This window comes from Homo sapiens, chromosome 6, assembly GCF_000001405.40.
Source record: "Homo sapiens chromosome 6, GRCh38.p14 Primary Assembly".
Taxonomy (NCBI): Eukaryota; Metazoa; Chordata; class Mammalia; order Primates; family Hominidae; genus Homo; species Homo sapiens.
The window spans coordinates 42,614,637-42,636,542 of NC_000006.12; the positions used below are offsets into that span (position 1 = coordinate 42,614,637).

General features: G+C 39.3%; 1 protein-coding gene across 11 annotated transcripts in view, besides 1 other annotated feature; it reads left to right on the forward strand.

Annotated features, from left to right (window-relative positions):
- Positions 1-21,906, forward strand: part of UBR2 (ubiquitin protein ligase E3 component n-recognin 2) — a 129,477-nt gene that overhangs the window by 50,608 nt on the left and 56,963 nt on the right. For 5 of the 11 annotated variants that reach the window (XM_011514438.3, NM_001363705.2, XM_047418493.1 and 2 more), the window contains exons 9-14: positions 435-542; positions 1,366-1,454; positions 2,773-2,871; positions 17,916-18,079; positions 18,169-18,268; positions 20,782-20,910. In XM_011514438.3, the coding sequence (XP_011512740.2) occupies positions 435-542; positions 1,366-1,454; positions 2,773-2,871; positions 17,916-18,079; positions 18,169-18,268; positions 20,782-20,910 (689 nt within the window). The other 6 variants (XM_017010594.2, NM_015255.3, XM_047418495.1 and 3 more) reach the window with 5 other exon arrangements.
- Positions 15,219-15,308: an enhancer, noted in NCBI's record as "active region_24562". NCBI's record gives its function as "activates an Ori minimal core promoter by ATAC-STARR-seq in GM12878 lymphoblastoid cells {active_cell/tissue: GM12878}" and the evidence as "EXISTENCE:reporter gene assay evidence [ECO:0000049][PMID:35858748]".

The window sequence follows — 21,906 nt, forward strand, 5'->3', positions numbered from 1 at the left end:
TTGCTATATATTATAATGCAGAAGTCATGCATTCCTCCTTTTAAATGGTAGCACATTTTATATTTCAATTATGGAATGTATAACACTTTCACTGTAATCTGGTTTAATTAGCATAAGTGCTTGAAGAACAATATTAAGTGGTTTTTTGGATGTTTTTCTCTTTAATTAAATTCATTAAAGCACAAGAGGTTATTGCCTTTATGATAGGCATATATTTTGACTTTCAGGAGTAATGGTGTGTGATGTGAGATTTGAAATTTATTTCCTTTTTGTTAAAATATTAATAAAACAGTTAATATGTTTGCCTTTTCTGAATAAATTTGAACTTTAAGAAAACATTTAAAACTCTACAGATCCATTTGAACATCTACTAAAATGTCACTATTTTAATATTTGAAGTTGCTATCTCATTCTACCTTTCCTTCTATTTAAAGATGGCCTTCGCCGGATTTTATGTCAAGTTGGTTTACAAGAAGGGCCAGATGGTGAAAACTCTTCTCTAGTGGACAGACTGATGCTTAGTGATTCCAAATTATGGAAAGGTGAATCTCTTAACTACTTTTAAGGTGTAGAGGAACCTATATAAGTAATTGGGATGTGAAAGGTTTTTATCATTTGGGAAGATATTTAATACATATATTTGTGCTTCTTAAAATTAGCATTGCAGTCTTAGTCTTTGAAAAATATAGATTTGGTGGGGTGGGGTCCATGATCCAACTTAAATGGACTTTATATTTTGTTACAGAATTATGTTTAGAAAACTTGGTTTTATAAACAAATTGCAAATATTTTGTGCTAAGGAAAATATGTATTTTGCTCCTTTTTTGAAGGGACAGGATCTCACTCTGTTGCCCAGGCAACAGGAGTGCAGTGGCATGATCATTGATCACTGCAGCCTCCAACTCTTGGACTCAAGCAATCCTCCCTTCTCAGCCTCCCTAGTAGCTGGGACTACATGTACATACCACCATGTATGGCTTTCTTTGTTTTTGAGACTTAAAATACAAGCCAGTCTCAGTGGTGTGTGCCTGTAGTCTCAGCTACACAGGAGGCTGAGGCAAGAGGATCACTTGAGCTAGGAGTTTGAGTTCAGCCTGGGCAACAAAGCAAGACCCTAAAAAAAAAAAAAAATGCTGTGTTGGCTGGGCATGGTGGTTCACATTTGTAATGCCAGCACTGTGGGAGGCCAAGGCAGGAGGATCGCGTGAGCCCAGGAGTTAAGACCAGCCTGGGCAACACAGCAAGACACTGTCTCAAAAGTAAAAACAAAACAAAACAAAAAAAACCCACTGTGGATCACATAACACTTGAGAAATGTAATTGTTGGGCGTGTCCTTATCTTATACCGTGATCTTTTTCTACAAGGTGCTAGGAGTGTATATCATCAGTTGTTCATGAGCAGTCTGCTTATGGATTTGAAATACAAGAAACTATTTGCTGTTCGATTTGCAAAAGTAAGTGGCTTTTCAATTTTGAAAATAGGTTATATATAGAGTAACTATGCCCATAATTATATCTAGGCTTCAAAAAATTAACATCTAATAGTAATATGTCAATGTGTTGATATTAAATTCTAAGAAACTTCATAAATAATCTTTTCATTCTTTATCAATAGAATAAAATTTTAGCCGTGAGACTCCTTGTTCATCACCTCCTATAACATGAGTATCTATTATACAATGTTTATGAAATAATAAATGAAGAGTTTAAACCTATGCCATTGTGAATTATGGTATTTTTTTCTATTAAAATTCATATAAGGAAACTAATCTCAGTTTAAATGACATATATATGAATATGATTTAATAAATATATTTGTGCATTTTAAAATTAGCATTGCAGTCTTAGTCTTTAAAAAAAAATAGATTTTTTTTTGGAGGGGGGGCATGATCCAAATTAAATAGCCTGTATATTTTGTTAGAAAATTATATTTAGAAAACTTTGATTTTATAAATAGATTGCAAATATTTCATGCTAAGGAAAACATGTATTTTGCTTTTTTTTTTTTTAAGAAACAAGGTCTCTTCAGAACTCTAGGTTATTAATATAGTTAAGTTCTCCCTTTTAGCAGCATGTGCATAAGCTAACCACTTATTTTTTTGCATTCACCTGAATTACGAAGTATATGAGAATCACTTGGAGAGCTCTTTCAAAATACATGTGTTGTGTTCCATTCTCAAATCTACTGAAACAGATTCACCAAGAATGGCGGCCCAAGCATGTATGCTTTGGAAGAGTCATCAGATGATTCTGATATGATGCAGAAGTAATGAAAGTCTGATTTCATCAGAAACAGTGTAATGCTGCTGTGGTTTAGCTCCACCAGCATACAATGACATCTTGGGAGCTTAGTAGCTGTTACTGCCTATTTGGGCTGGTAAACTGCCATTGTGCTCCAGAAGAAAGAATCGATATTTATACAGGATTCCACAGTTTCCATAGTGAATCAATATCTATACAGGATTCTATTGGTAGAAATCATTCCAGTTATTGTTCTCATAGCAGTGTTATCTTCTTGACTTCCTCCAGCACTGACTTTTCATTATAATCCTTAAACATTTGGTCATTGTGGATTAGAGGTGAATCTCCCCCTTGTTGTTTAGAATTACCAGCAGTTGCAGAGAGATTTTATGGAGGATGATCACGAGCGAGCAGTGTCGGTGACTGCTCTATCTGTCCAGTTCTTCACCGCACCTACTCTGGTGAGTAGTGCTTGCCTTTTCTTTGTAACTGATAGCTGGCACTCCTTGCCTTTTTTTGCCTTCTTAATAGAACTATGAGCGTTTGCAGAGTGATTATGTGACAGATGACCACGACAGAGAGTTTTCAGTCGCAGACCTCTCGGTTCAGATATTCACGGTTCCTTCACTTGTAAGTACTGAAAGACTAGAAGAACTTTCTTGTTTTCCATTAACAGAGGCCTTAAAATAATAGAGAACTAAAGTCTGTATATTCCTGAAAAGAATAGTATTTTATTAATGGGTAATCAGACTTCAAACACCTTCACTATTCTTTTACTAGAATATAACCTTGAATATCAAAGTCATCTGGTAGGGGGGAAGTCATTTAAACTTAATTTATACTTTCTCTTCAGAGTAAAGGAGAGGGAAACAATCTACAATTTTTCATAGTACTTCCCTGAGATTTTGAACTGATTAGTTCACATTAAGCCGATTGATTTCACAAATTATCCTTCACGTTAGAATTAGACAGCATATTGTACACCGTCTCACAATTTGAGAAGTCCTCCTCCCACCTCCCTCCCAAAAGGGGAGATGTAGCTAAGGCAATTGAATCCTGATGATTGGATGGTCTTTTACTGAGCTTCACGAGTTGCCCATAAAGGCATCGTTATGTTTTAACGCTATATACATAATTAAAATTCATATTTAATTTGTTCAGCAAATTTAAGAAACACCTATTTATTGGGCACAGTTCTAGACTTTGAGAATGTAACAGTAAACAATAACAAATGTGACCCTTCCCTCATCAAACTTACCATAGTGGGAAAGACTCACATAAATAATCAGAATCACAATGAAAATTCCGTTGGTTTGAGAGAAAATAACAAGAGACCTGTCCTTTTCCCACACTTCAGGGCTTTTCTAAGAAAGGTGCCTTTATGCAAGGGCATGAGGGAAGGTCCATACAAAGGAATGAGCAGTTGAGAAAACCTGGAGGAGTAGGGTGGAGCATTACCTCTTGGCAAATAGAGGAAAACCAGGACACTTGAAGATCCTTGAACCTGGAGTGAAATTGTATAGGTTTAAGAGCATTTTATAGTTACTTTATTAATAAGGCATATTAAAAATAACTGAATTTTTCACCATATTACTTTTATGTTAAAGGATATATTCTAATACAGTGGAAGCTGACTGGAGTCTGTTTACCCATTAATGAGCTAGTATGATAGGCCAAATTAAGGATTTTTGCATTTTGTCTTAAAAACATGAGAAGGCATTAAAGAATTTTAAGTGGTATTTACATAATTACATTTGTGATTTTAAAAGATCATGCTGTCTGTAATTTGGAGAACAAATTGGACGAGGATAAAAGTGAGTGTGGGAAACCTAATCAGATGCTAAAGCAATGACCCAGGGAAAAATTGATGGTAACTCGAACTGGGATGCTGAAAGTGGATATGAATCATGGGGGATATTTTTAGGTGGTGAAATCTACAGAACCGGCCAAGTGGGTTTGAGGGTTGTTGGACTTGCTGACGAACTGGATGTCGGGTTTGAAGAAGCATAAGGATGATTCGCAAGCATCTGGCTTGCAGCTGAGTAGATGCTGTGCCACTTGCTGAATGATTAGCATTTGTAAAGAGGGAAAGTGATGCTTTTAGTTTAGTCAGGGTTGAGTTCCAGAAGCCTCTGAGATGATCCTGTGTGTATTCATATCTGTGCTTCCCTCCTTCATTGAACCATTTCCATGCCAGTACCACAGTTGTAATAATTATTTATAGCTTAATATCCCATTTTGACATCTTAAATCCCATTTCATTTGATAGCTTAAATCTCCTTTCATTATTATTTTCCAAAATGTTTTCGCTTATTCTTAGGCCTTTTTCAAAAAGATGAAGTAAAATCAGATTGTCAGTTACCAAAAACCACATTAGAATTTTGACTGAAAAGACCTTATATTTGTAGATTAATTTAGGAAGCACTAACATCTTTGCAATATTGAATATCCCAACTAGGAATATAATTTGTCCTTGTTTATTCAAATGTTATTTTATGTTCTTAGTAAAAACTTCATAGTTCTCTCGTTATGAACATATATATATATATATATATATATATATATATATATATATATTTTTTTTTTTTAGTTCTCTATCTCTGCTGGGCGCAGTGGCTCACCTCTGTAATCCTAGCCAAGGCAGGTGGATCACCTGAGCTTAGGAGTCTGAGACCAGCCTGGCCAACATGGTGAAACCCCATCTCTACTAAAAATAGAAAAATTAGCCAGGCGTGGTGGCGCACGCCTGAGGCTGAGGCAGAAGAATCACTTGAACCCAAGAGGCGGAGGTTGCAGTGAGCTGAGATCAAGCCATTGCACTCCAGCCTGGGCGACAGAGCGAGATTCGGTATCCAAAAAAAAAAAGTTCTTGCTCTGTCACTCAGGCTGGAGTGAGGTGGCACGATCACAGCTCACTGCAGCTTTGACCACCTGGGCTTAGGCAATCCTCCTGTCTCAGCCTCCCAAGTAGCTGGGACCACAGATGCATGCCACCACACCCAGCTAGTCTTAACATTTTTAAATTAAGCTTATATGGTTTATATTTTTGATGCTGTAGTAAACTTTTTATATTTTTGATGCTGTAGTAAACTTTTTATATTTTTAAACAGGCTATGGTAGTATTTAGGAAAACTACTGATTTTTATATGTCCATCTTATATCTGTCTGGTCTATCTGGATATGTATGTATTCAGATTAAATAGGTTCTACCAGACTCTTTTCCATAATGGTTAAACCAATTCATGCTTCTGTTAATAACGTATGAAAGTGATAGTTGCTCCACATCCTCACCAACACTTGGTTTTACCAGTCTTTTAAGATTTTATCTATTCTAGTGGGACATAGTGGTTTCTCATTATGGTTTTAATTTGCATTCTTCTGATGATGATGAAGCTGAATTCCTTTTTATATGTTTATTGGCATTTGGATATACTCCTTTGTGAATCCCTGTTAAAGTTGTCCTTTGATTATCTATTGAGTTGTCTGCCTTTTTCTTACTGATTTGTCAGAGTTTTTCATAGATTCTGCATACATATTCTTTGTTGGGTATATATACTACAAATATTTTTTCCACTCTTGTTTACTTCCTGAATATTAAGTGTTGTTTTTTTTTTTTGTTTTTGTTTTTGTTTTTTTTTAAGACAGAGTCTCACTGTCCCCCAGGCTGGAGTGCAGTGGCATGATCTCGGGTCAGTGCAACCTCAGCCTCCTGAGTAGCTGGGACTACATGCGTGCCCAGCTAAGTTTTTGTATTTATAATAGAGATGGGGTTTCACTATGTTGGCCAGGCTGGTCTCAAACTCCTAGCCTCAAGTGATCCGCCTGCCTCAGCCTCTCAAAGTGCTGGGATTACGGGCATGAGCCACTGCACCCAGCCAGGTGTCTCTTAATGAGCCAGAATTCATAATTATAACATGTACTAATTTTGTTTGTTTGTTTGTTTTTTAGACGGAGTCTCGCTCTGTCACCCAGGCTGTAGTGCAGTGGCGTGATCTCCACTCACTGCAACCTCTGCCTCCCGGGTTCAAGCGATTCTCCTTCCTCGGCCTCCTGAGTAGCTGGGGCTACAGGCGTGTGTGACCATACCTGGCTATTTTGTTTGTTTGTTTGTTTGTTTGTATTTTTAGTAGAGACGGGGTTTCACTATGTTGGACAGACTGGTCTCAAACTTCTGACCTCAGGTGATCCACCGCACCCGGCCGTACTTTTTGTATATTGTTTAAACAATCTTTGTGTATCCCAAGGTCACAAAGATATTCTCCCACGTTTTCTAAAAGCTGCCTTTCCCATTTAAATTCCCAATCCATCTATAATTCATTTTTGTGTATCTAAGAAGTAAGGTCTTGATTTTTCCCCCTACATAGTTATTCAATTAACCCAGAAGTGTTTATTGAAGATACTTTTTCACCTGTTGCATTTCAGGGGCACCTTTGTCATAAATCAAGACCTTTATATGTGTGTGTCTGTCTTGTCTATCTTTGTGCCCCAGCTACACTGCCTTAATTATAGTAGTTTTGTGAGTCTCAGTATCTGATAGTTAAATCTTCCAGCTTTATTCCTCAGAGTGCCTTGGCCATTCTTTTTTTGTTTGTTTGTTTTTTTGAGATGGAGTTTCATTGTTGTTGCCCAGGCTGGAGTGCAATGGTGTGATCTCGGCTCACTGCAACCTCCGCCTCCCGGGTTCAAGCAATTCTCCTGCCTCAGCCTCCCAAGTAGCTGGGATTATAGGCATGCGCCACCACACCTGGCTAATTTTGTATTTTTAGTAGAGATGGGGTTTTGCCATGTTGGTCAGGCTGGTCTTGAACTCCTGACCTCAGGTGATCCATCCCCCTCAGCTCCCAAAGTGCTGAGATTACAGGCGTGAGCCACCGCGCCAGGCCAGCCTTGGCCATTCTTAATCCTTTGTATTTCTGTATGAATTTAGATTCAGCATATCAGCTTCCATACACACGAAGAAGCCTTCATATATTTTGATTGAGATTGAAATTAATCTCTCCTTCAGTTTAGGAAGAATTGGTATCTTTACAATATTGAGTCTTCTGCCCTGTGAACTTGATGTATTCCTTCATTCATTTAGTTTTTTAAAAAAATTTCTTTCAATACTTTATAGTTGTCATTATAGAGGGCTTCCCACTCTTCTTTTTTTTCTTTTTGAGATGGAGTCTTGCTCTGTCACCCAGGCTAGAGCACAGTGGCACAATCTTGGCTCACTGCAACCTCTGCCTCCCAGGTTCAAGCAATTCTCCTGTCTTAGCCTCCCGAGTAGCTGGGATTACAGACACCTGCTGCCACCACGCCTGGCTAATTTTTGTATTTTTAGTAGAGACAGGGTTTCACCATATTGGTCAGGCTGGTGTCGAACTCCTGACCTCAGGTGATCCACCCATCTCAGCGTCCCAAAGTGCTGGGATTACAGGCGTGAGCCACTGCGCCTGGCCCCCATTCTTCTTTTGTTAGATTTATTTCTAGGTGTTTGGTTTGGTTTTGGGGGGAGGGGAGACATTGTTTTTGGGTTTTTTGGTGGGTTTTTTTTTTTTTTGAGACAGAACCTCACTCTGTTCCCCACGCTGGAGTGCAGTGGTGCAATCTCAGTTCACTGCAGCCTCCGCCTCCTAGGTTAAAGTGATTCTTCTGCCTCAGCCTCCCAAGTAGCTGGGATTACAGGTGCGTGCCACCACACCTGGCTAGTTTTTTTGTACTTTTCATAGAGATGGTGTTTCACCATGTTAGCCAGACTGGTCTCAAACTCCTGACCTCAGGTTATCTGCCCACCTCGGCCTCCCAAAGTGCTGGGATTACAAGCCTGAGCCACCGCACCTGGCCTGTTTTTGGCTTTTGATTCTATGGGAAATTTTTTTTAACTTTACTTTGTATTTGCTTATAGAAATACATTCATTTGTGTATATCAGCCATGTATCCAGCCACTTTTTCCACATTCATTTATTCTAATGGTTTATAGATTTTTTTTTTTTTTAAGATGGGGTCTGTGATGCTCAGGCCAGTCTCAAACTCCTGGGCTCAAGCTATCATCCTGCCTCAGCCTCCCAAAGTACTGGGATTACAGGCATGAGCCACTGTGCCCAGCCAGTTTGCAGATTCTTTTGGATTTTTCTGTGTACATAATCATATCACTTGTCATTCATGAATAACAGCAGTTTTAGTTCTTATTTTGAATATTTATATATTTTATTTCATTTTCTTTATTATACTGGCTGGGACCTCAACTACAGTGTTAAATACAAGTGGTAGATAAAAGCAGAAATCTTTGTCTCATATCTGATCTCAGGGGGAAAACTTTTAATATTTTACCGTAAAGTATGATGTTTTGCTTTGGAGTTTTGTTTGCTTGGTTTTTGTTTGATTGTTTATAGATACTCTTTTATCAGATTAGAGAAATTTTCTCTATTCCTAGTTTGCTCTAAGATGGTAGTGTTGTTTAAGAGAGGGAGCCTTGTGATGTTGCCCAGCCTGCCCTCAAATTCCTGGGCTCAAGCAATCCTCCCATCTCAGTCTCCCGAGTACCTGGGACTATAGGCATGCACCACTGAGCCCAACTTGGTTTTTGTTTGTTTGGTTTTGGGTTTTTTTTGAGACGGAGCCTCACTCTGTCGCGCAGGCTGGAGTGCAGTGGTGTGATCTCAGCTCACTACAACCTCCGCCTTCCGGGTTCAAGCGATTCTTCTGCCTCAGCCTCCTGAGTAGCTGGGATTACAGGTGCACACCACCACGCCCAGCTAATTTTTATATTTTTAGTAGAGACGGGGTTTCACCACGTTGGTCAGGCTGGTCTTGAACTCCTGACCTCGTGATCCACCCTCCTCAGCCTCCCCAAGTGCTGGGATTACAGGCGTGAGCCACTGCACCCGGCTGGTTTTTGTTTATGTTAAATCATGAATATGTGTTTAATTTTCATGAATTTCAGGAGAGGCATTGGATGGTATGATCAAGTGGTTTTTTTCTCCCTTTGTCTGTTAATAAGGTTATTTAATTTTTTTTCAAATGTTTTATTACTTTTGCTTTAAGGAAATAAACCAAACTTGGTTGTGGTATATTATCCTTTTTCTATATTGCTTGATTCTATTTGTGCACCCTTATTTGTGAGAGAGATTAAGTGATAATTTTCTTTCCTTGTTATAGCCTTTTGGGGTTTTGGTATTAAGATTAAAGAGGACTCATTAATTACATTGGCAAGTATATTCTGTTTTCTGGAAAATTTTATGTAAGATAGGTATTGCTCTTTTTTTGTTTGTTTGTTTTGTTTTGTTTTGTTTGTTTTTTGAGACCAATTCTCACTCTAGCACCCAGGCCAGAGTGCAGTGGTGCGATCTCAGCTCACTGCAGCCTCAACCTCCTGTGTGCAAGTGATCCACCTCAGCCTCCCAAGTAGCTGGGAGTACAGGCATGCACTACCACACTTGGCTAATTTTTTTTTTTTTTTTAGTGTTTGTTGAGTTGGTGGGGGGGGTGTTGCTTTGTTGCCCAGGCTAGTCTTGAACTCCTGACCTCAAGTGATCCTTCCACCTCGGCCTACCAAAGTGTTGGGATTACAGGTGTGAACCACTTACTCCTTATTGCTTTTGTAATTGCCCAACAGATTCTTTCTGCCCACTGTACAGATAAAATCAATTCACTGAGACCACGGCATTGCAGTACAGAAAGAGTTAAATTGACAGGAGGCTGGCCACACAACATGGGAGACAGAGTTTTTACTCAAAATCTCCCCCTGAAGGCTTGGAGGTTAGGGGTTTTCAAGTATAATTTGGTGAGCAGAAAACTAGGGAGTAGGTGATGCTGATTGGTTGAGGAGAGCATCATTAGGGTGTGTGCTGAGTCCACTTGTGGCTGAGGGTCAAAGGACTGGTTGAATTATGGATCACAAGTAATGCAAAGTCTGAAAAGGCATCTCAAAAAGGCCACTCTTAGGTTCTACAATAGTGTTGTTATCTATAGGAGTAATTGTGGAAGTTACAAATCTTGTGATTGCTGGTTATCATTTAACTTACATCTTAGCATAATTCAGGCCCCTTTCATCATCTTAACCTTGTGGACTTTCATTAGTTTTATAAAGGCAGTTTCCTTTTGGAAAGGGCTATTATCTTCCTTGCTTTAAGGTTAAACTACAAATTAAATTTCTCCCAAAGTTAGTTTGGCCTACACCCCAGAATGACCAAGGACAGCTTGGAGGTTAGAAGCAAGATGGAGTCAATTATATCAGATTTCTCTTATTGTCATAATTTTGCAAAGGCACTTTACTCACTTAAATATTTGGAAGAATTCTCCAGTGTAACCATTTGGGCCTCAAGATTTCTTTCTGGAAATGATTTTATAGCCAGTTAAAATTTTTAATAGGACTATTCAGATTTCCTGTTTCTTGTTTCCCTTCTAATAACATGTTTTTTCTTGGGACTTTGCTAATTTCATTTAAATTTCCAATTACATTGATTTAAATGACACCTAATATTTGTCTTATTTTCTATTTAATACATTTCAGATCTATAGGTTTTGTAGTATTTTTTGTAATCCTTTTTTAAATTTAAATTTTTCTGTTTTTCTTACCAGTCTTTCTAAGGATGTATACTCTTTTTTTAGGACAGGGTCTCACTTTGTCACCCAAGCTGGAGTGCAGTGGCATGATTTCAGCTCACTGCAATCTCTACCTCCCAGGTTCAAGCAATTCTGGTGTCTCAGTCTCCCAAGTAGCTGGGACTACAGGCATGCACCACCACACTCGGCTAATTTTTGTATTTTCAGTAGAGATGGAGTTTTGCCATCTTGGCCAGGCTGGTCTCAAGCTCCTGGCCTCATGTGATCTGCCTACCTCAACCTCCCAAAGTGCTGGATTACAGACATGAGCCACCATGCCCAGCCTAGAGATGTATGTGTTTATTAGTTTTTTCAAAGAACCAACCTTTAGTTGCGTTGATTTATTTTTCCCCCCTTTTTTTTTTTTTGAGGCGGAGTCTCGCTCTGTCGCCCAGGTTGGAGTGCAGTGGTGCGATCTCGGCTCACTGCATGCTCCGCCTCCCGGGTTCACGCCATTCTCCTGCCTCAGCCTCCCAAGTAGCTGGGACTACAGGCACCCGCCACCATGCCTGGCTATTTTTTTTGTATTTTTAGTAGAGCCGGGGTTTCACCATGTTAGCCAGGATGGTCTCGATCTCCTGACCTCGTGATCTGCCTGCCTCAGCCTCCCAAAGTGCTGGGATTACAGGCGTGAGCCACCGTGAGCTGCCTTATTTTTCCCCTTTTATACATTTGCTTTGTTTTATTCTTTCCTTTTTTGTGTTTTCTTTAGATTTTGCCATTCTTGCGTAGTTTCTTTTCTTTCGTGACCACCAATGTAATTTCTTTATAGATTATTAGATCATTTACTTTCAGCCTTCTTTTCTGATGATTTAAGGCTTAGGTTTCCATCTAAGCATAATTTTAACTGCATGTCACAGTCTTGTTTGTGGCAAATGAGGGTTGTTTAGAAAGGTTTGTTTTGCAAGTTCAAATGAACTTAGGTAATAAAGGATGCCCCTTGCCTTCCTGGAAAGTGAGAGGACACTTTACAGAAGGGAAATGTATGCTCTCTTTTTACGGCTTCTCTTGTGTCTGCTGTCCTCAGTTGCCTTCGCTCAAAATAATCCTTATGCCAAAGTGGCATATTTTGGGGTGGCATATTCGAGTTCTCTTCAGCTGATAGAGTGAGGTGGATCACTTTAGTCCAGTCAAGGATTTAAGTGTCTCCATGTTGTTTTGACAAGACTCAGTCTTACTTCTGCTTCATCCCCACCCCTGACACATAACTCCCTAGGGGTTCTCAATCGAGAGCCTGGAGTTCTTCCCTAGAATTCGAGTTTGTTCACTCTATAGGAACTTGTACACTAATCTTGCTTCCTTATATAACTTTAGAATTTTGTAAATGTCTTTAAGGAAAAACTGGAAGAACGTTGAACTCAGTTCCCCCTGCTCTTTTTCTTACTGGGATTCTGGCCTCTCCAACACCCTGGGACTGCTATAGTCTCAGCAAGTTTTTCTCCCTAATAATAGCAGTTCTGTACATATTTTGTAACCACACAATGGGTTACCTTGCTCGCTGCCCAGATAGAGCCGATTTATGAAGACGAGGGAATTGCAATAGAGAAAGAGTTTAGTACACAGAGAGCTGGCCAAGTGGGAGACCAAAGCTTTATTATTACTCAAATCAGCCACCCCAACAATTTAGAGCCTAGGTTTGGAGGGCAGGGGGCTAGGAAATAGGGGATGCTGATTGGTTGGGTCCAGGGTGGAATCACAGGGAGTTGAAACTGTCCACTTGTGCTGAGTCAGTTCCTAGGTGGGGGCCATAAGACCAGATAAGCCAGTTTACCAGTCTGGGTGTCTCCAGCAGGTCCTTCAGTATGCAGGGTCTGAAAAATACCTCAAACACCAATCTTAGGTTTTACAATAGTAATGTTATCTGTAGGAGCAAGTGGGGGAGGTTAGTGATATTGTGGCCTCTGGCTACATGACTTCTGAGCCATAATTTCTAATCTAGTGGCTAATTTGTTGGTTTTACAAACGCAGTCTGGTTCCCAAGCAAGGAGGGAGTTTGTTTCAGGGAGAGTCTATTACCGTCTTTGTTTGTTTTTTTGGTTTGTTTTGTTTTTTGAGTCAGGGTCTCGCTCTGTTGCCCAGGCTAGAGTGCAGTGGTGCAATCGTGGCCCACTGCAGCCTCGACCACCCAAATTCAAGCCAACCTCCTGCCTCAGTTTCCTGAGTAGCTGGGACTACAAGTGTGCGCCACTACACACCTGGCTAAGTTTTTTTTTTTATCTCTTATTTTTAGTAGAGACAATGTCTTGCTATGTTGCCTGGGCTGGTCTTGAACTCCTGGGCTCAAATGATCCTCCCACCCCAGCCTCCCAAAGTACTAGCATTACAGGCATGAGCCACCACACCCAGCCTTTGTTTTAAAGTCTTTAAAGTCTTTGTTTTAAAGTTAAACTGTAAACCACATTCCTCCCAAAGTTAGTTTGGCCTGCACCCAGGAATGAATAAGGGCAGTTTTGGAGATTAAAGGCAAGATGAAGTCAATTAGGTCAGATCTCTTTCGTTGTCATAATTTTCTCACTGTTAACAGTTTTTGCAAAGGTAGCTTTGTTTTTTTCTTGGGATCTTAAATCCCCTCTTACCCCACTCCCAGAATAGACAAATGCTGAGGGAAAAGCAGCTGCAGAATGCTGGCTCACCTCCTTGTGCAGTTCCCTTTCTCCCTGGTTTTATCTCCTGGAGTCCTTGTCTCAGCAGCTCTCTAGTGATTTCAAACTTTTTTTTACTTTTATTAAGCGTTTCTAGTTGTTCTTGTTGGAAATGTTGGTCATCCTCAAGCTACTTCATCATGACTGAAAGAATACTTTTATAGTTCTTTAAAAAAAAAACAAAACTCTGTTAATAATTATTATGCACATCCCTGGTTAAAAATAACTTGCCCTAGATATTAGTGGAATGTTTTACAGCAGTGGTACCTTTTGAATCACAATTACCTTACAATTAACACAGTCTTCATTTTTAGTTTGGTCAAGACCCAGTACTGGCCAGGCACAGTGGCTCATGCCTGTAATCCCAGCACTTTGGGAGGCAAAGGTGGGAGGATCACTTGAGGTCAGGAGTTCGAGACCAGCCTGGCCAACATGGTGAAACCCCGTCTCTTCTAAAAATACAAAAAATTAGCTGGGCATGGTGGCAGGTGCTGGTAATCCTAGCTACTCAGGTGGCTGAGAGAGGAGAATTGCTTGAACCTGTGAGGTGGAGGTTGCAGTGAGCCAAGATCATGCCACTGCACTCTAGCCTGAGCGACAGAGTGAGGCTCTGACTCAAAAAAAAAAAAAAAAAAAAATAGTGCTTATAATTCAAGTGATTAGAGTATGATAGTTGTTCTAATTTATTAAATATGTGTTCAGTCAGCATTATCCCTGTATGCTATGGCATGTTTAGTTTAAAAGTATAAGCATAGATGATTATTATTATTCAGTTGTATTTTTCAGAGTCTTACGGGAGAATTTGGCCCATTTTGAATATGCTGTTAAATAGGTAATGAGCCTTGCAATGCAAAATTGAATATGAATCATATAAAATGAATAAAAACTGTAATATAATCAGGGGTTTTTTTGTTTTTGTTTTTGTTTTGAGATAGAGTTTCGCTCTTGTCATCCACGCTGGAGTGCAGTGGCATGATCTGGGCTCACTGCAACCTCCGCCTCCTGGGTTCAAGCAGTTCTCCAGCCTCAGCTTCCCTAGTAGCTGGGATTATAGGTGCCCGCCACCATGCCCGGGTAATTTTTTAATTTTTAGTAGAGAGGGGGTTTCGCCATGTTGGCCAGACAGGTCTGGAACTCCTGACCTCAAGTGATCCGCCCACCTCAGCCTCCCAAAGTGCTCAGATTACAGGCGTGAGCCACTGTGCCCGGCTGATAGTGGTAATGCTTTTTAAAGCAAAGTGAATTGTAGGCATAAAAATTAAGAAAGGCCAGGCACAGTGGCGCACACCTGTAATCCCAGCACTTTGGGAGGCCGAGGCAGGCAGATCACTTGAGGTCAAGACTTCAAGATCAGCCTAGACAACTTGGTGAAACCCTGTCTCTACTAAATATAGGTAAAAAATTAGCCAAGCGTGGTGGCACACACCTGTAATCCTAGCTACTTAGGAGGCTGAGGTGGGAGGATTACTTGAACCCTGGAGGAGGAGATTGCAGTGAGCCAAGATTATGCCACTGCACTCCAGCCTGGGTGACAAAGCAAAACTCTGTCTCAAAAAAATATATATAATTTTTTAGGGTAAGTGTTAAGTACAAGAAATATATACCAAGACTAAATACCAAATAATGTCTGGTATTTAATGTTGAAAATTACTTTGAAAGGTTAGCAACAATTTCTTAGCATAAGGTGATAAAGCTGAGAACCTAAGGTCTTTTATTTTTCTTTTCTGTTTGTAACTTTGAAATATGTGCTTCTTTTGTTATCTTTTAGAAGTAGAAATGCCTGAATAACTCCCCTGGTTTTTGTTTTGGTTTTGGTTTTTGGGGTTTTCGTTTGTTTTTACGAGTCAAGGCCTTGCTGTGTTGCCCAGGCTGGCCTCGAAATCCTGAGCTCAAGCAGTCCTCAACCTCAGCCTCACAAGTAGCTGGAACTATAGACAGGAGCCACTGTGGCCAGCTACTTCCTGTTTTAATGGGACATTAGTAATGAACCATCGTAGTAGTAGTAGCAGTAGTAGTAGTAGCAGTAGCAGTAGTAGTAGTAGTAGTAGTAGTAGTAATGAACCACTCTATTATTATTTACTTTTTTTTTTTTTTTAATTGAGAGAGTCTTGCTCTGTCGCCTAGGCTGGAGTGCAATGGCATGATCTCGGTTCACTGCAACCTCTGCCTCCTGAGTTCAAGCGGTTCTCCTGTCTCAGCCTCCCGAGTAGCTGGGATTACAGGAGCCCACCACCACGCCCAGCTAATTTTTGTGTTTTTTAGTAGAGATATGGTTTCACCATGTTGGCCAAGCTAGTCTCGAACTCCTGACCTTAGGTGATCCACCCACCTCGGCCTCCCTTGCTGGGATAACAGGCATAAGCCACTGCACCCAGCCTATTTTTTTTTTTTGATACCCCTAAAGACAATTAGAATCTAATCCAAAATTGTGCAGTATGTGAACCATCTCTGTTAACATTCACCTGAAACTAAAAATGCTAGTAAGTGCCTTGGTTTGGTGGGGGTTTACATTCTAACAATATCGTCTCTCCACCAAACTTCCTCTTACTGCCTGCTTTAAGTCCTGAAGTTTTCAAACTCAGTTTTATATTTACAGATTTTCTACTTATCTGCTGACTTTAGAATTTAACATCTATATTAGAATACAGTTTTAATATATTCTTAGACTTCTGTCTTCTGCATTTTTGTTTCTGCTTATTTGGGGTTTTTTTGTTTTTTGTTTTTAAGACAGGGTCTCACTCTGTCGCCCAGGCTGGAGTGGCGTGATCATGGCTCACTGCAGCCTTGACCTCCCAGGCTCAGGTGATTTTCCCACCTCAGCCTCCCAGGTAGCTGGGAATACAGGTACATGCCACCACACCCAGCTAATTGTTTTATTTTTTATAGAGACAGGGTTTCACTGTGTTGCCCAGGCTGGTCTCGAACTGGGCTCAAATAATCCGCCTGCCTCAGCCTCCCAAAGTGCTGGCGTTACAGACGTGAGCTACTGCACCTGGCCTTGTTCTACGTTTTGATGAAACTTTTTCTGTTGCTAATTACCTAATCTTGACTTATGCGAGGCCTGTTTAAGTTGTCACCCAGCATCAATAACACTCTAGAATCCTAGGAGAGATTAGCTGTTGAGGCTGGAAAATGTCAGGGTGAGGATCCATGATCTTTTGTATCAGAGTGCAAAATGAAGTATTCAAAGTAACATTAGACTTTCTGACTCTATTAGGGCAGAGATTAACACCATCAAAATGGCAAAGAGCAAAATGTTTGAAGTTATATTGTGTTATGGAGGGCATGAGAGGGCATGGCCCACATTGTAGGTAGAAAGAGAAATTGTTGAGCCTCTTTGTGGAAACAATTTGGTGATATCATTAAAATTTATTATGTGCATACTCTTTAACCGATTACTTCCACTTTTAGGAAATTACTCTATAAATATTCCTACAACTATACACAGTGGATATTTGTTGCAACATCTTTTTTAATAGCATAAAACTGGAAACAACCCAAATGTCTGACCAGTAAAAGCTTGGCTAAATAAAATCTGATACAAAAGTAGACCTGGTTAAAAAGAATGACGAGCATTTGTATGAACTGATATGGGACATTGTCCCATATCAAGTAAAAAAATGTACAAAACAATATAATATGCTATCTTTTGTAGGAAAAAGATAGATATACATACTTGTGTATACTTAATACACACTTTATGTATTTATACATTTTATATATGTGTGTGTATTATGTAGTATATACTCTGATTTTATATATATATATATATATATATATATATAAATACAGGTTCTGTAATTATATATATATAAAATACACATACATATACCATCTCTGCAAGAATATGCAAGGAACTACGATTAACAAGATTTGCCTTTAGAAAGAAGACCTCAGGAGCTAGGAGACTCCCTGTTGCATTTAGTATGATTTACATGTATTTGCTTATTTAAAAAAAAAAAAAATATATATATATATATATATATGTACACACATGCACACACACACAAACAAAAAATAAATCTCAACTAAGGAAATAAAGAGAAAATATTGTTTCATACTGAGTTCTAGAGAATCTGTGTCGTAAACCTCTGGATCCTAGAATAACTATACCATACCATTATAGGTGTCTAAATGTCTCAGTTAAGGAAAATTTGCAGCCTGATTCAGAGCCCCCACCCTGAATTTATCTTTGAGTAATGAGCCTTGGAACTGTCTTCTAACATTCTGGCATCTTTCTGGCATCTGGTATAATTGTTGCTTCATACACATGGCAATTGGAGTAAGTAATTGTTATTTAGAAATACACAGTAATGCATTTATGATATATAGTTGTGTTGAAAAAGGTTTAAACTGAAGGAGCTAAACAATGTTGGTGACTTTTTTTTTAGTCTTCCTAGTACATAGTTTTTGATTACCATGCACTCTGATAAACTTTGTTTTTAGGCTCGAATGCTCATCACAGAAGAAAACTTAATGAGCATTATCATTAAGACTTTTATGGATCATTTGAGACATCGAGATGCCCAGGGCAGATTTCAGTTTGAACGATACACTGCTTTACAAGCCTTCAAATTTAGGAGAGTACAGAGCCTTATTTTAGATCTCAAGTAAGTTTTCATTTAATTATTAAACCAGTTGCAATTTATAGAAAGTCAATGTTTATGTTAATTGCCACTGTCACTTTTATCTTGTTCAGGTATGTGTTAATTAGCAAACCAACTGAATGGTCAGATGAGCTGAGGCAGAAGTTCCTAGAAGGGTTTGATGCCTTTTTGGAATTACTAAAATGTATGCAGGTATGTAAAAACTGTTACACTTTTCTTTTTCCTTTTTTTTTTTTCTCTTTTCTCTTTTTTTTTTTTTTTTTAATTTTTCTTTTTCTTTTTAAGAGATGGGGGTCTCACTGTGTTGCCCAGGGTGGAGTGTAGTGGCTAGTCATAGACACAACCATAGTGTACTATACCTTTGAACTCCTGGTCTCTGGCAGTTCTCCTGCCTCAGCCTCCAAAGTTGCCTGGGACTAGAGGCGCAGGCACGGGCCCAGGCCCAGCTTCTTTGTTGTTGTTGTTGTTGTTGTTGTTGTTGTTCATTGAAATGAACAGCTTTCTGTCTGCGCATCTTTTCATTTCGTGCACATTTCCAAAAGATCAATTTGGATGGCTGCAATTCTGACCAGGAAGCTCCTCTTTAATTGGAAATTCTTAGAAAGGTATGGAGCAAAGGAGATCCCAGCAAACATTCCGGCATCTACTGCTCTTGGGTTTTTTCTGTGTTGGTTTTTTTTGTTTTGTTTTGTTTATGAGATGGAGTCTCACTCTGTCGCCCAGGCTGGAGTGCAGTGGCGCAATCTCAGCTCACTGCAATCTCCACCTCCAGAGTTCAAGTGAATATCCTGCCTCAGCCTCTCAAACAGCTGGAATTACAGGTATACACCACCACACCAGCTAATTTTTTGTATTTTTAATAGAGATAGGGTTTCACCAAGTTGTCCAGGCTGGTCTCGAACTCCTGACCTCAAGTGATCCACCCACCTCAACCTCCCAGAGTGCTGGGATTACCGGCATGAGCCACCGCACCTGGCCAGTTTTTGGGGTTGTTTTTTTGTTTGTTTTTTGTTTTGTTTTGTTTTGTTTTGTTTGAGACATAGTTTTTCACTCTGTTGCCCAGGCTGGAGTACAATGGCACAATCCTGGCTCACTGCAACCTCCGCCTCCTGGGTTCAAGTGATTCTCTGACCTCAGCTTTTTGAGTAGCTGGGATTACAGGCACCTGCCACCATGCCTGGCTATTTTTTGTATTTTTAGTAGAGACGAGGTTTCACCAAGTTGTCCAGGCTGATTTCAAACTGCTGACCTCAAGTGATCCGCCCACCTCGGCCTCCCAATGTGCTGGGATTACAGGCATGAGCCACTGCGCCAGCCACTTTTATATTTCTTTGGTTTCCACTAATGTTCTTTCTTTAGAGGTTACAAGTTTATTTTTTTAATATGCTTTCTTGGAAGTATAGTCAAGTTATTTGAGAAACTGTAGTGGTTTTTGATTTTGCTTTTTAATGTTTCCATGTTTCTTTTTCTCTCCTTCATGTGGTATTTATATAATACAGTGTAGACCTTTTTCCCCTGTTTAATTCTCTTTTTAGGAAACATCCCTATATACAAAACAGAATCTAGAAGTAGAAACGAACAGGTATATTTAACCAGTTATAACTGTAAGAAGATAGGTGACGTCTCTAAAAATCTGAGCAAGTACTATTATGATTTCTTTAGTAGCCACCTGGCTTTCTTAAGAAAAGGAATGACCAAAGTTGACTTACCATTTTTATTTTTATTTGTTTGAATTTATTTTTATTTATTTATTTATTTTGGAGGTGGAGGTTTGCTCTATCGCCCAGGCGGGAGTGCAGTGGCGCGATCTTGGCTCACTGCAACCTCTGCCTCCCAGGTTCAAGCAATTCTTCTGCCTCAGCCTCCCGAGTAGCTGGGATTACAGGTGCACGCCACCACACCTAGCTCATTTTTGTATTGTTAGTAGAGACAGGGTTTCGCCATGTTGGCCAGGCTGGTCTTGAATTCCTGACCTCAAGTGATCCACCCGCCTCGGCCTCCCAAAGTGCTGGGATTACAGGCGTGGGCCACCATGTCTGGCCTGACTTACCATTCTAGTTCCTAGGTTGGGTGGTAGTTCATGGGTGTTTATTATAATACTACTATGTTTTTCATGTATCTGTGAAAACAATAGCTACTTTGGTCATTTTTGATACTTGAAGTATTCTGTATTCTCTATTGTTTAATAAGTTCTGACATACTAGAATAGTTAGGCTAGTTTCTGAACAGTAATTTTAATTAAAAGCTATTTATTGTTTTGCCTTCTTTCAGGCTCTGTGAAAACTTCTAATTGCATATTAGGACATAATATTAAAACTTTATTATAAAATACAGTTATAAATTCAATAACATTTTAAAAGCTTGTCACATTTCTTTTAACAATTTTTTCTATAGACCATAGAGCTAAAAAGGAAGGATTATTGCAGTGAAATATTGAAGTATTTTATTGCCTAAAACAGATCTTAGATGATACCTCTGAAATAATGTGTTTATTGGGATTTCTAAATTTATATTTTAGAGAATGTTATATAAACACATAATTTTAAAAGCTATTATTTCTCATAGTACTTGAAGTTTCCTGTTAAAACTTATACCTTCTATGTTTTTATAATCAATATATATTTCTCCTACATTACTTCTTAGGTTTCCATATAAAAGAACAACTATTATTTTCATTCATATATAATTTTTTCACTTCCGTTAAGGGAATGGATCCAATTACACGTCAAGTAGGACAACATATTGAAATGGAACCAGAGTGGGAAGCAGCCTTCACACTACAAATGAAATTAACACATGTCATTTCAATGATGCAGGACTGGTGTGCTTCAGATGTGAGTTTCTTCTGGGTGCGGGGAATAGGAGGAAAGTGGAAGAGGGAGGAATAAGCAGAATCCTAAGTAAATTTCAAGGAGATCTGGAGAAAATAGTGGTGATACTTAGTTCATTAAACAGCGTATTTTCCTTCTCCACCTATAAACTCAGTAAAATTTTAAAATTCTACAGCCTGAGGAAAAACTTGAAAAATAGAGAAAGAAATAATCCAGATTGTCTCTTCCCTAATGTAACTATCTTTGTTTTTTTTCCATAATCCCTTCTAGACTTTGAGGATATAAAAATGGTAGTTTCTAAATTTATTCAAAAATAAAGTTTTATTATTGGTACATTTGTCCTGTGTCTTAAAATTATTTTGGCCTTCCTTTGGCGATAAAGTCTAGATGAGAGCCTGTATACATTATGAGGTTAGGGAGGTTTCTGTAAGGTCTGAACAATCTGTAAAAGTTAATGGAACAATGAGTAAATGATATTCCTGACTGAGAAGACAGCTGCATTATAGTCTGTGATGACAGGGACTAGGGTAGTCCTAGGAGCTATAGAAAGGTCTGTGGTTGGAGCACAGAAGTAGAGAACAGAGATTTGGGCACAGGAGTGATTTTTCGGGGCCTTGGCCATGGTTGTTTTTTTTTTTGTTTTTTTTTTTTTTGAGACACAGCTTACTCTGTTGCCCAGGCCAGAGTGCAGTGGTGCAATCCCGGCTCACTGCAGCCTCAACCTCCCTGGGCTTAGGTGATCCTCCCACCTCAGCCTCCCAAGTAGCTGGGACAACAGGCACACACCACCACACCTGGCTAATTTTTCTATTTTTTGTAGAGACAGGGCTTCGCCGTGTTACCCAGGCTGGTCTTGAATTCCTGGGCTCAAGCGATCTGCTTGCCTCGGCCTCCCAAAGTCTTGGAATTACCAGCGTGAGCCACCACACTCAGCCTGCATTTTATTTGAATTGAAGTGGGAAGCCTTTAGAGATTACCATCTCTCTATTAAATTCCCTG